The 13,224-nt window shown below is 41.5% G+C and overlaps 1 protein-coding gene across 20 annotated transcripts in view; it reads right to left on the minus strand.

Moving 5' to 3' along the window:
• Nucleotides 1–13,224, minus strand: part of AFF3 (ALF transcription elongation factor 3) — a 597,172-nt gene that overhangs the window by 455,948 nt on the left and 128,000 nt on the right. For 10 of the 20 annotated variants that reach the window (XM_047444281.1, XM_047444280.1, XM_047444279.1 and 7 more), the window contains 4 exons: nucleotides 10,131–10,205; nucleotides 7,446–7,566; nucleotides 5,782–6,094; nucleotides 5,266–5,651 (listed from right to left, as the gene is read on the minus strand). In XM_047444281.1, coding sequence (XP_047300237.1) covers nucleotides 5,266–5,651; nucleotides 5,782–6,094; nucleotides 7,446–7,566; nucleotides 10,131–10,205 — 895 coding nt within the window. The remainder of the gene's footprint in view (nucleotides 1–5,265; nucleotides 5,652–5,781; nucleotides 6,095–7,445; nucleotides 7,567–10,130; nucleotides 10,206–13,224) is intronic. The other 10 variants (NM_002285.3, XM_047444286.1, NM_001386135.1 and 7 more) reach the window with 1 other exon arrangement.

The following is a 13,224-nucleotide window of genomic DNA, read 5'->3' on the forward strand; positions in this document are numbered from 1 at the left end:
ATAGAAACTGAAACTGAAGTTTTTTCATGTTAAATGCCTTACCTTTTTTTCTGTTTTGTTTTTTGGTTTTTGGTTTTTTTGAGACGGAGTCTCACTCTGTCGCCCAGACTGGACTGCAGTGGCATGATCTCGTCTCACCGCAATTTCTGCATCCCGAGTTCAGGCAATTCTTCTGCCTCAGCCTCCTGAGTAGCTGGGATTACAGGCATGCGCCACCACGCCCAGCTAATTTTTGTATTTTTAGTAGACACGAGGTTTACCGTGTTGGCCAGGATGGTCTCCATCTCCTGACCTCGTGATCCACCCGCCTTGGCCTCCCAAAGTGCAGGGATTACAGGCGTTAAGCCACTGCGCCCAGCCCAAGTGCTTCACCTTTTAAGACCCCAATGGCCAAACATAAAAGGACTGGAAAATATGGAAATATTTCCACTTGCCAGTCTTCATTACGACCTTCAGAACGACCCATCTAAACTACAGAAACCAAGTGCTTCCCTCCAGCATCTGAGATCAAGGTTTGGGTCTCCACTCTTTCGGGTATACGCAGTACAGGCACTCCACGTTCTAAGCGGACGGAAGCTGCCCATCGAGCAGACAGGAGGAAGCGCAGAGCGTAACCATCCGTGCTGTTGCTATGCCACGCTGTCCTGAGGGACGTGGCCTCCGACTGCCATGGGTGAGCGAGGGTGATGGGAAAGATGACACCACGACAGGTGGGGAAACTGAGTCTCCAGGCTTGCCACACACCCTCATTTCTCCCAGGAGCAATCAGATAGCAAACTTCAATTTGAAAACATTATACATCTCAAATGTAATTAAGAAATTCGACTGGCATGAATATGTAATGTACACATTGCTTTACAGATGCCTTTTTTGCCCGACAGGCTGGTGCCGACTTTCATTTGGAAGAAATCCATTTTCATACAAAGGTAACCAAGAGTGACAGGAAATAGGAAGCCTACATCATTTATCTTCTGTGAACTTTAGAAAAAATCAGTTAATTGCTTTTCTAGGAAGCTATTTTATGGAATCGCAGTGCTTCATCTTTCTATTCTTTTTCATGGCATAAACGGCAATTTTAAAATGCCCTTCATGAAAATTCTATGATTAATCAATACATCTTAGACTATTTAATTACTTATTTTAACAAATAAAATTCTGATCAACCATAAATGGTTTCTCTGTTCTTATAGATGAATTATCAACCACTACGAAAACATCTAGGATACCACAGTCTATTGATTGATATCCAAATTCAGGTGTCTCTTTCCTTACCACTGACTAAGCTATGGGCACCAGCTCCTGGCTTCCTCTGCTCTCCTGGCTTATCAAATGAATTCTGTTCCCAGCCACTGGAGCCCTCTGCAACAGCAGTTTCAAACTATCACTACTTATTAAATTGCAAACAGAAAACTATAAATGTGTAGGTTTTGGAATACACTGCTGAAGCTGTAACTTGTCAAACCACCAACTGCAAAAGGCCCAGGACACTCCTGTGTTGTCTCAATGGCTCTGCATGTTAGGTTTTTCACACCACTGTCCTATTTTGTGCCCTGCCCCCATCACCTAACATATACATACGTATTTTTAAATTCTACCAAGTTTAGGCTAATGTAACTTTTTTCAAATCCAAAATGATCATCTTAGTAATGATTTTATATTATTCCATGAGCCAAAGACAGATACACTATGAAGTTAATGATGCTTAAGCTTCAGGGTCTCTAAGGCTCTGGGGAGTTGGGGGTCGGGGGGGTGGGGGTGGTACTGTGTTAACACAGTTATATGTCTTTGAAATAATGGCAAAGGTGAGATATTTTCTATTCCTTCATTTCTAAAGAAGATCCCCAAGACTGCAAATTTGAGGTCCCACAAAACTGTATCTGCCTCTCTAGGTTAACAGTCCCCAATGTTTGAATCTGGAATTACATGCTGAGCACAAAATATTAATTTGCGTGTGTGTGTGAACAAAAAATAATTCACTTCAGTCAGAAATAAAATTCAGTGTGCTGTGCCCTAGAACATTCTAGAGGGCATGCTTTGGCTATTCGTTAGTCCCTGGTCTCTCACCCAACCATAGACAGCTTTCCAAGGGGCACTCCCAGGGAGGCTCACTTAATGAGGAGTGGTGTTCAGAATAAAAGACTCAGCTACAACAACAAAAATATGTTTTTCATTAAACACAAAACTGAGTCGGAAAAAGCCAGCCAAGAAGCAGGTGTAAGAGTTAAAGAATTCTCTTGAGGTCTTTAACTTCTACATCAAATTGCACTGGATTTTTCTGCACTAATTACCTATTATTGAAGTCTCAGGAATTACTGCAAATAATTTGCCATAGCAGCAGGTAGGGTGCAGATGTTGTAAGGGAAAGAATGAAGAGTTTATGAAGTGTAAAACCAGGCAAAGGGATTCAAAATTTCCAAATTTTTAAAAATAATACAGAATTGTTTTTCTACTACAAGGGTGATGAAGGTGAGGGAATTTTCCTAGGGCTAAAAGGCCAATTTTAAACTTAATTTGGACTGTAAATGAGAGAAACTGCAAATTAAAAGCTATGTGCTGCAGTCTAATTTATTCAGTTAATGTAAATTTCTTGGAGGCAGAGATTACATCTTACACTAAAAAAAAAAAAAAATTCTCTCATTGCATTGCACCTAGTTATTAATCTGATTTTCTTATGAGGAATGTACCTATACGATGCCAAACAGCTATTTTTGTATGGCCCTCCTTGTTTTTATGTCATTTTTACCTAACCCTTCCAGCCCCCAAATTCTTCACACTGTGATAAGTCTTGCTCTGTAGCTAACATCCTCAAAAACCATAGTCAAGTAATAACCTTGCAGGTTATTTTCTTTGGAAATTTCCCTAAAAAACCCTTCTCTACCTCACTGGAAGTTAATGTCTGTACTATTGAGAGGACATTTTCATACCAGCAGTATCTTTATTTTTAAAAATATTGGCATGAATATTTTTGAAATTGTCACATTAAATCGTTTTACCTCTTTCAAAAAATAAAAATATTTATTCCCTCAAAAGTAAAATCTGGTTGATAAAATTCTTCAGCTTCTATGTTATGATTGTGAATTTTATTTTTTTATTTATTTTTTGTAGAGATGGGATCTCACTATGTTGCCCAGGCTGGTCTTGAACTCTGGCCTCAAGCAATCCTCCCACCTCAGCCTCCCAAAGTACTGGGATTACAGGAATGAGCCACTGTGCCTGGCCTGATTGCGGATTTTATTGGAATAGCCTATAAATATTGAACAATGCACCTGCGAAAGAGTATGTCTTAATCTTCTCTTGGAATACTGTCAACAAAGATCTCTGAGTTTGAAGGGTAGAAGTAACTCACTACTTGGCTGCTGACTGTGAAATTTAGTCATGTTTTTATTGTGGGAGTGGACTGATTAAACAGACAAGTGTTATAAGGTTCAAATTACAACATTTCTCCTAATATGCAGTGCTTTTAACTATGATAAACACTGCACCCCCCTTCACAAAAAAAAAAAGAACCCACCCACCAATTTTTAACTTTCTTCTACAAACACCTCTTATCTCTTCTCTATCAAAGCATGACTGGCCTTTTTGAAATATTCAGGACAAAAAGTTAGGAAGAGGGCAGGCTCGCTAGTTCAATGTCACTACATATAGGGGAAATGGAACACTTCCCATAGAAAGCTCTGATTTCTCTCAGCGTGAGTCTCTGTCTGAGGCATCCCCCTCTCTCTCTGCTAACCAGACACCATACACAGCATGTTCTTTCCAATCTGAGTCCTCAAAGGGCATCCTGAAAGTGTCCAGGTTATTAATGACATACCCAAAAGCCTCATAAAAACTGCACAGTTATCTGCTTAAGGCTTTACTGGCAATCAAAAATTCATCTTTTTTTGTTTTAACTAGAGTTTTATGAACTCACTGAATTCCAAAATAAACAAACATGTAAATTATTACCTAATAAATCTGAAGTTTCTTTGGTAGATAAAAACCATTTTAACAAGAAGTCAATTGAGATTGAAATAATGAAGGGGTTCCTGGTGGTTGTAAAAGTCAGTCACCACTGCTCAAAGATATGCCGGAATTTATTTGCTGCTACCAGTCATTTGATGATGACGAATCAAACAGCCTGATGAATTCAGTTTTGTAAGATGGTACCTACGTGTGTCTCCTACAAACTTTTAAAAACGTAAATGCCTATAGAAATTACATTTTGCTTCCATTAGTTTCTAGTGAACATTTTCTAGAATCTATCATAAACGTGTAATCAAAAAAAGTTACGGTATACCTGTCACTTGATCTTCTCTACAAAACCAGTGTAAACATCTCATAGATTAAAAAAGAAGTCTTTTCTAAACGGTGATATGTTGATATCCCTATCAGTCCGTGGTGATCTCTGAGATGATAGTTCAGAAATGTTTAAGCTCAGCCTTGTCAAAAATGCAACAACAAATGTCAAATCATTGCTTTCATTTGGTTATTAAATCAAATTAAGATACAAAGAATATTCTGGCCACACTGTTACTCAGTCTTTAAAGAATATGTTAAAAAGAGAAAAAACTGAACAGTTCCTAAGTATAATGTTCTAGAACTCACATTTAATTTTAGTTAGTATACAATATCACAGCAAAAAATATGTATGCATGGTCATATTTTTTTCTTCATGTACTCTTCACAACCATCATCAATTTGGAATATGGTCTGAGACAGGACAGGATTTCCAAAACATTTGAATAGTTCACCATATTCAAAGTTGAATAATTTAAACAATTAATTTAAAAACTATTATGAGGTTTATTTGGTAAAGTTTGTGTTAAAATATTTCAAAACACGAAAATGTTAAGAGTTTTGGAACTCTTTTACATAAAAATTTACCTTAAATAGGTAAATAGATACTGAAATTATAGCCTTTAAGTGCTTTTCTTACTTCTGAATCACTTATTCACTTATTTCTTAATTTTATTTATACCCTCAGTGAACACTAGCTATTCAGAAGAAAATTCTCAAACTATAGTGAAGGGGACATTCCTTCCCTAACTAATACATACACACACAACTGCATTTGCTGGAACTCTAAAAATTCAAATTATAATAAATTTGAGATTTTAAGAAATCACTATTTAAGTCTGCCTCCCCTTTCAGTGACTGCTACAAATCCTACCACATGAAGTTAACCACATCACTGAAAAAAAAGAAACATGGAAACTGAATTCACGAGGGTCAAATTGTCACTTGTAACTATGCAGTTGCATGTGAACGGTGCTGATAAAGACTCACCTCCCCCTGCTTGGGGATGCTGAACTTGGAGAGCTTGGCCTTGGCTCTGGCAGGCTCCGGCTTGCTGGCAGGGACTCCCCTGTATGATGTGCAGTGCACGCTGGTTTCCGAAGACGACTTCAGCTTAGGAGACTCATCAGGGGCCTGATCTTGGCCGTCCATTGGCCTCACATACGCGGTCGGTTTCTGCTGGACCAGGCTGGGTTTTGAAGCTAGGGATGGAGGAAAGTTCTGAACACAGTGTCCGCTGCTGCTGTGCTTGGCCGCCATGGCAGGTGGCCTCTCCTGGGTCTGAAGGCCCACCTCCACATTGCACACTTGTTTGGCCCGAGGCTGCTGTCTGCCAACACCATCTCCAAGCAAGGTCCTGAGAGAGCCCTGTTGTGCTGAGTTGGAAGAAGAAGAAGAGGAAGATAAGGATGAGGGGGGTCGACACATAGGGATTTTCTTTTTTCATTATAGTTCTCTGGGTTTTAGCAGATTTGTGCAAATCAAGCAACCTGTGCCTGTGCTTACTTGCTCTCTGTTGGCCGTCAGAGGGTGGGTGCCCAGCCTTCTGCCAGCCCATAGTGCCTCTCTTACTCTGCTGCACGGGGACAGCTGCTGGTGTGGAAGTTGTAGTGCTACAGATAGACGAGGGCTGGTTCTGGGCTCTTGAATCTGCAACAAAATGTTCATCGATCTTGTTCACAGGAGTCTGAGGAACCCCAGGTTTGGGAACTCCAACGAGATGACTCTGATTGGATCTATCAGTTAAAAAGTCTTTCATTTCATCATAATTGCCTAAAGTGTTCTGGATCCGGTTGGAGAGTTCATCCCCCTTGTTAGTCTGGAGAAAGAAAAACACATCCACGCTATTGTTAGAGACAACAGAAACACCGGAGATAATCAACAGGTGCCCTTATCAATCACAGAGCCAGGGTTGTCACATGCAGAATGAGAGCTGAGAGATGAAATCGAAATCCTTATCGTCTCTGAAGATGTCTGTCAGCACTTGGTGATGCACCAGAACAGGAAGCCTGTAATGGCCTTGGGGTGCATAAAAAGGGATCTATCCGGCCGGGCGCGGTGGCTGGCTCATGCCTGGAATCCCAGCACTTTGGGAGGCCGAGGTGGGCGGAACACCTGAGGTCAGGTGTTTGAGATCAGCCTGACCAACACGGCAAAACCCTGTCTCTACTAAAAATACAAAAATTAGTGGGGTGTGGTGTCGGGCTGCTGTAGTCCCAGCTACTCAGGAGGCTGAGGCAGGAGAATCACTTGAACCTGGGAGGCAGAGGTTGCAGTGAGCCAAGATCACGCCACTGCACTCCAGCCTGGGTGACAGAAGGAGACTCTGTCTCAAAAAATAAAAAGGAGCAGGGGGATCTATCCTTGGTACTGTGTGTGTTGCAGCTAAAACAGATTACCTGGAAATCAGGAAAATTAACTATTGCAACTTTAAAAAATGAACTGGATTAAGTCTTTCTATGATTGGATTGTCCTGTAATTGTAGTCCCGTTAGAAGCTTTACTTGAAAATTCAGATTTGGCTCGGGATTAGTCTAAATATCATTCTTGCCAGAAATCCAGAGTGACAGGCAAGAGATGTCAATGTGAAGCTTAAAGGAACATGGGGCTAAATGTGCAGGAAGCTGGAATGACCCAGAGCTCCATGCCGCCTAAGGTATTTGTGAAATCTGGGATGACATTTCATTTTGGAAGCAAGGTTATATTTCTGGCCTTTGGTAAAAATGAGAAATAATCTTAGACTTTCTTTCTCATTAGCCCTAACAGGTACTCTAATCCTAGCGTGATCCATGTACGACAAATATGTAACACAACCTCCTTCTAATAGTGTTTGTTTCCTACGATCTGAGAAAACATAACAAATGGGATTGACCTTATAATATGTCAACGCGGAGATGAAGTCTGTATTATTGATAAAAATCACAGCAAGCAGATCTCAATAGTAAACAAAAGTTGCATGTTACTGAGGGAGTGGCCAGTAAAGCCATGTGAACCACACACCTCAATTTCTGGGGGAAGACCCCGTACTTGGTGGCTGAGCTGTCTTCCCTGGGCTGAACAGACAGAAGATGCAGTCAAGTTTGGTCGGCCAATTCTTTTAGTCAAGGCCACCGTCACAGGGAGTGAGAGAAACAAGTGAGAGGTAGAGATGAACAACTGAAAACCATCTACCTTGTAGGGCTCACTGAAGAGAGAGTAACTAGAATTAAACGTGCCATCATCCTGTTGAGTTTCTTGATTTCTTCTTTCTCGTTCTTTCCTCCGTAATGCATTTCTATCTGGTTCATAGACACTGCATCAGGAAAAAGAAGAGAGAACAACCACACACACAAATTAAACTGTAAAGCCCAATGTAACACTTGTGTGAGTGCAGAAGTCTGGTTCGTGGACAAATGGTGATGACAACAAGAACATGGATGAGACAAAAGCCAGAGTCATCAGGCAGTGTGCTGGGGTGTCTAACAATTACATTCTTTGGGGGGAAAAGAATCCTTAGGACCAGTTCCAACCAGTACTAGGTTTCTCTTCCTGGTATGTGAAAGAGGAACTGTTTAAGCAACTTTGACAGGAGAAGACTGAAAGTAATCTTAAGGCAGACGGTAATTACAGTGATGTGTAAATAGAAATTATGAGCATATTTTCTCTATGACAGAGCTTCTGAGTGTTATATGGGAATGCTCCTGTTCTTTTTTTTTTTTTCCTTTTTGCATGGCTGTGTTTCTGCAGTGATTCTTTCATTAACTAGCTCCCTAAAGAGCTGTTAAAACTGCATGCTGCAGTGGTTTTCACAGTTATGAGCCTTCTTCTGATCTCTGTTAATCAGTCAAGTCGTCAAACGACTACTGAATCAATTCTTCCTTCTGATATATTTGACACTATCACTCCTCCTAACTATGAAAAATGTGCCAGGAGGAAGGGGTGCAGGCAATGAGGGGAGAGAACGGAAATTGAATTATGTTGTGTCATCAAGGAACTCCGCCTTTTGTTGAAGAAAATTAATATCTATTCTCTCAAAATACAATTATGAAGTGGCCAGGCACCAGACAACTGGAAGAAATGAGGAAGAAATAAAGTGTTCCTTCCCCCTAATAAGGAGAAAACAAAGGGGCTAATTCAACTAGTGATGAGGAAGTGACCTGTTTACTGAAGGAAGGAAATGCACTTGTTTTTCTGGCTCCCTGGATAAAGAAATCTGGCCTCCGTGTAGACAACAGAACCAACACTACCAATCAAAAAGAGCTTACAGATCCCTTAAGATGAGCTCTGTCCTCCTTTCCCAGCAGAAGCAGGTGGGTTCAGTGACCTGGCCATCATTCTGCTTCCAGCTCCCACTTGGTCTAGTGGGCAGATGCTGAGCTGGGAGTTGGCACACTCACCTGCGAAATGTGGTTCTCCCCAAATCAGCGACATGGGGATGGAAAAGCCACTCGGTCTCTCTACGCCTTAATGACTTCATTACAAAGCAGGGGCGTTTCATGGCACTGTTATAAGGCTTAAATGTGAAGGTAATCTATAAAATGGCTTTGGAGTAGCTTTAGGTGCCACAAAATCCAACATATTGCTAATAAAATATTGTTAATAATAAAAGGATCTGTGGGTTCAAAGGAACTTATAAAAATTGTGATTTTTAAAAGCTAAATAACTATCTTTAGTAAAACAGAAAGTATATGTATCATGTAGCTGTAGGGGGACACACAAATTATTGTAAAATAAATATTGCTTATCCTAGCTCTGCCCGTGTGGCTGGGGTACAGTTTAAATTTGCTGTCTAAGGGGTGATGCGATACTAAACATGCTTCTGGCAAGGCTGCTGCAGCACCTAAGGCATTTAATTTAAATTTAAGGTTAGGGAATGTAAAGATATCCAGAACATGGAGCCTATTAGCATTTTAATTCATCCTTAGTATATTACCCACAGTTATTAGATTTGGGAGTCCAACCAGTGACCTTCATATAACGGGGACTGCAGCCTCTAGAATCTTCTACCAACTGAGAGGCTCACAGCGCTAACATCACGATCACTGATCACTAAGAACTCTCTGGGGTGGCTGTGGTGACAGTGACCAGCCTAAGGAAAGCAGGAGATGGGAAAGACACTCTTATTCACAGAACCAGACTTCCAGTTCCCAGTAGAGGGTATGATGGTCCTGCCCTGCTTGTGGACATTTGTAATATGAAACCCCGGCTTTCAGGAACATTCCATGGATTTAAAATGGAGACTGCTCTGAGGATATATGACCCACACTGCAGATGGATATGAAGTAGCCTTTAATCAACAGGAGAATTCTAGTTTCATTATGCACTTCTAGCTTTTGGAACAATATTGACACCTGCAGTTAGAAAACAAAAAGCAGCCGGGCGCTGTGGCTCATGCCTGTAATCCCAGCACTTTGGGAGGCCGAGATGGGTGGATCACGAGGTCAGGAGATCGAGGCCATCCTGGCTAACACGGTGAAACCCCATTTCTACTAAAAATACAAAAAATTAGCCAGGGGCGGTGGTGGGCACCTGTAGTCCCAGCTACTCGGGAGGCTGAGGCAGGAGAACGGCACGAACCCGGGAGGCGGAGCTTGCAGTGAGCCGAGATTGCGCCACTGCACTCCAGCCTGGGCGACAAAGCGAGACTCCCTCTCAAAAGAAAAAAAAGCTTGCACAGCATGCATCATAACTCTCCCCTTTTCCCATACATAGCAGGGACTCCCACACACATGCTTGCTGCCCTCAGTCAGGTCAACCCAACCAGACACACAAGACTGGTGTGATGCACGAAGTGGCCTCATGTAAGATGGAGCAGGCAGGTGGTCATTGAGAATGATTTCTGGGCTTCTCAGAAGGCCCCCATGCCCAAAATAATACCTCCTGCATCTGCTGGCTGATGACTGAAATTCCACAACTAGAGAGTCATTCCTCTGGTTTAAGATGTCTTCACCCCTGCAAGAAATATAAACACCACAAGAAGCTGAAACACTTTAAACCTGATTAGCCTTGAGTATCTTAGCGTGCATGAGTCTGTCAGCATATTTTCCAGAAGCCGAGGGGAAAGAATCCAAGATCCCGGAGGGTCAGAACGGGAGGCAAGCTGAACAAAGGAAGGGACAACAGTAGATGCAGCCATGAAAACAGATTCATAAACTCCACTTATTTTTCAGTGTGGCTTAAATGTTTAAGACAAAGGCAATAGGATAAAAACCAAAATTAATTAGGCAGATATCAGACCCAATACATTTCCAGGGTCTGGGAGTTATGAGTCATGTCCTACTCTGAAAATGTTGGAGGTGAGAGAAAAGATGCTCCTCTTTAACTAAACCTGCCTCATCCCCCAACCCCTTTAAGCTGAAGGATACCCCAAAGCACTCCAAGATGCTTTATAAAGCATCCAGATTGCTAGATAAAATCCACTAATGAAGTTCTACCCGCATAACCAGCCTACAGCTCCTACTACCAAGAAGGAGTGAACACCCTCAGGACCACTTACTCATAATCTTCTAATAGAAATCCACTAGTCGTCTTTTCAGGGGCCTGCCATCATGCTCGTGCCATGCTTCCACACCATAAGATGAACCCAGAATGACTCAAAATGGCAACGTCCCCACTTCTTCAAAGGAGAGGAAAGGAAACTCAAAAAGAAAGGCAATGCCTTCCCTTTGGTTTCTCTCCTCCTTCCTTGGTGGGTAGCTCTGTAGCCTCCACTGAGCTGCTTCTTAAAACTAACCTACCCATTCCTTCTCTTTAACTAGAAGCACAAGCCCCCCACCACATATCATTTCATGGCTAGGGAGCTAAAATGTCACTTGCTTAAAGCAGATGTCACTGTAAGAGAAAGGCTGGGCTTCCCACCCCCTGTATCTCCCTAAGTGTCTGAACTCTCACCTTTCTACCAATACTAAATGTTTTGACTCATAAAGACAGTAGCTTCTCGACAGTGAGCCCCCATCCCACTAATTACAAGTGAAAATTGTGCCGGTGCTCACCAGCCTGCAGAGTGCCTTTCTCTTCATCTCTTGCCATGAAAGCTTAGCCCTCTTCGTCCCCCTGCCATTTGAGCAATGTGAAGATCATGCTTTAAAAGCAAAGAAAGCTTTCGCCTGACAAGCTGAAAGTCAGGTCAGCTTCCCCTGGGATGGCTGACTTAGGTCTAAGAGAATTCCAATTCCCGGCATGCCAACATATACATTAAACTCAAAATGTGTTGCACGTTATGAGTTATGTTTCTTTGTTACTAGCAGATGGTAAAAATTTCTATCATCTGCAAAGTTGCTCCTATTTCCATAAAAATTACAAAAATCACATTCCTCAAATGTATGTCACCAAATGTATTTATTTATTTTGCATGAAAGTGGAGGTAGCCAACTGCTTCAATATTATTTATCATTTGTTGCAGATGCATAACATTCCCAGAAAATAAACCTTTTTAATCAACTCCTTTTAAAGGGCCTATTTATTTTTAGAATTAAAAAAAATAGCAAATAAAAAATGTAGTGAAAACATTTTTGATCATTTCTCACTTATTTGTTTTTAATCTATAAATTGCGGTATCTTGTAGAGCTCCAGCCAAGGCCAATTATGGTGGTTAAGTAGAAATAGACGTCTAAACATGAAACTGTCATCATTTCCAAAATTCATCTATTCTTGATCATACGGTAACAGCATGAAACTAAATAAAAGTAACATCTATGAGCCCGATGGCTTTTCTCTTCCATTGAGCTCAAAACATTTCACCTATATGTCCCTTAATTATCCTCACAATGCCCCTTGGAGAAAGACACTGATGGTGAATATTATGACTAGGTTAACTCTTTTAAAGATCAAGAAACTTAGGATAAGAGTTTGATCATCAAAACAATGTCATAAAGACACACTGTGTAAAAGGAACAGCAATGTCCAAAGTACCTTACTCAGCTCTGCCCAGAGAACAGGAGCTATCCTGGAGCCAAGAAGTGGTGGCACCTCTTAAACCCTGATGTCTGACAAGCCCAGTAGTGAGAAGTAGTTAACATGAGCCCCAGAGGCAAAACAGGAATAAATGAAATAAGGCAAGCTATTTCCCAGTCAGACAGAGAGAACCATAAGGAGAATTCTGGAATAAAGTCTCAGCTGTTATAATTTTTTACAGCCCCCAACTGACAAAGGATAGAAATCAGTCTCTTTCCACAGCTCACACACAAAGCAGACCTATGTAACCTAGAATTGTGGAATGGAAGATAGAGAAGTGAATAAAAAAATAAAAAATGATAAGATTCTAAAGTTGCCCAGCGAGGGCTACTGATGTCACTATTTTTATCAAGTGCTACCCATTCATTAGCCTGCTCCAATCTCTCCCTAGGCTGCCCTACTGGTGAGAAAGGTGCTGGAGCCAGGACAGCCTGCCCTCTGGCTGAGTCACAGGTTGATTCAGCAGACCCAGCCAGCCAGGGGGGGATGACCTCCTTCCCACTGCACTCATCCACATGCAGCCTGATGAAATCTGATGAAATGCAGTTTGCTTGGAGCACTCGCTCCAAGCAAACTGCATTTCCCATGGAGGAGACTTTTAGGCAAGGGTATATGAAGCCAATTGTATCCCTTGACTAGAATCATCAAAATGTTTTATTCTTATTTTTAAAAAACTATCCAAACTACTGATATGTCTCCAGGGTTGTGGGGAGTCTAAGAAATAAGCAAATTCAAGGAGAAGAGAATGAACCACCTCTCACCTATCTTTTGGAAAAAGTTATCATGTTTTGCATGTTTTTAAAATACAGTCCTTTTCAAATAACAAAAACACAATTCACTTTCGTCCAAAAGCATTTTCTGAATACCACTGTGTCAGATACTAGGGAGACAGGGTCGTGATTGAGCCATCCTGCTGATGAGAAGACAACAGTCTGGGGCAAGGAGAATGGGGAAAAGGAAGAAGGGCACCAATTCACAATCAAACAATGTGAGCAGCCTGTGGTCAGGGCACTGGCAG

Source organism: Homo sapiens, chromosome 2, assembly GCF_000001405.40.
Source record: "Homo sapiens chromosome 2, GRCh38.p14 Primary Assembly".
Lineage (NCBI taxonomy): Eukaryota > Metazoa > Chordata > Mammalia > Primates > Hominidae > Homo > Homo sapiens.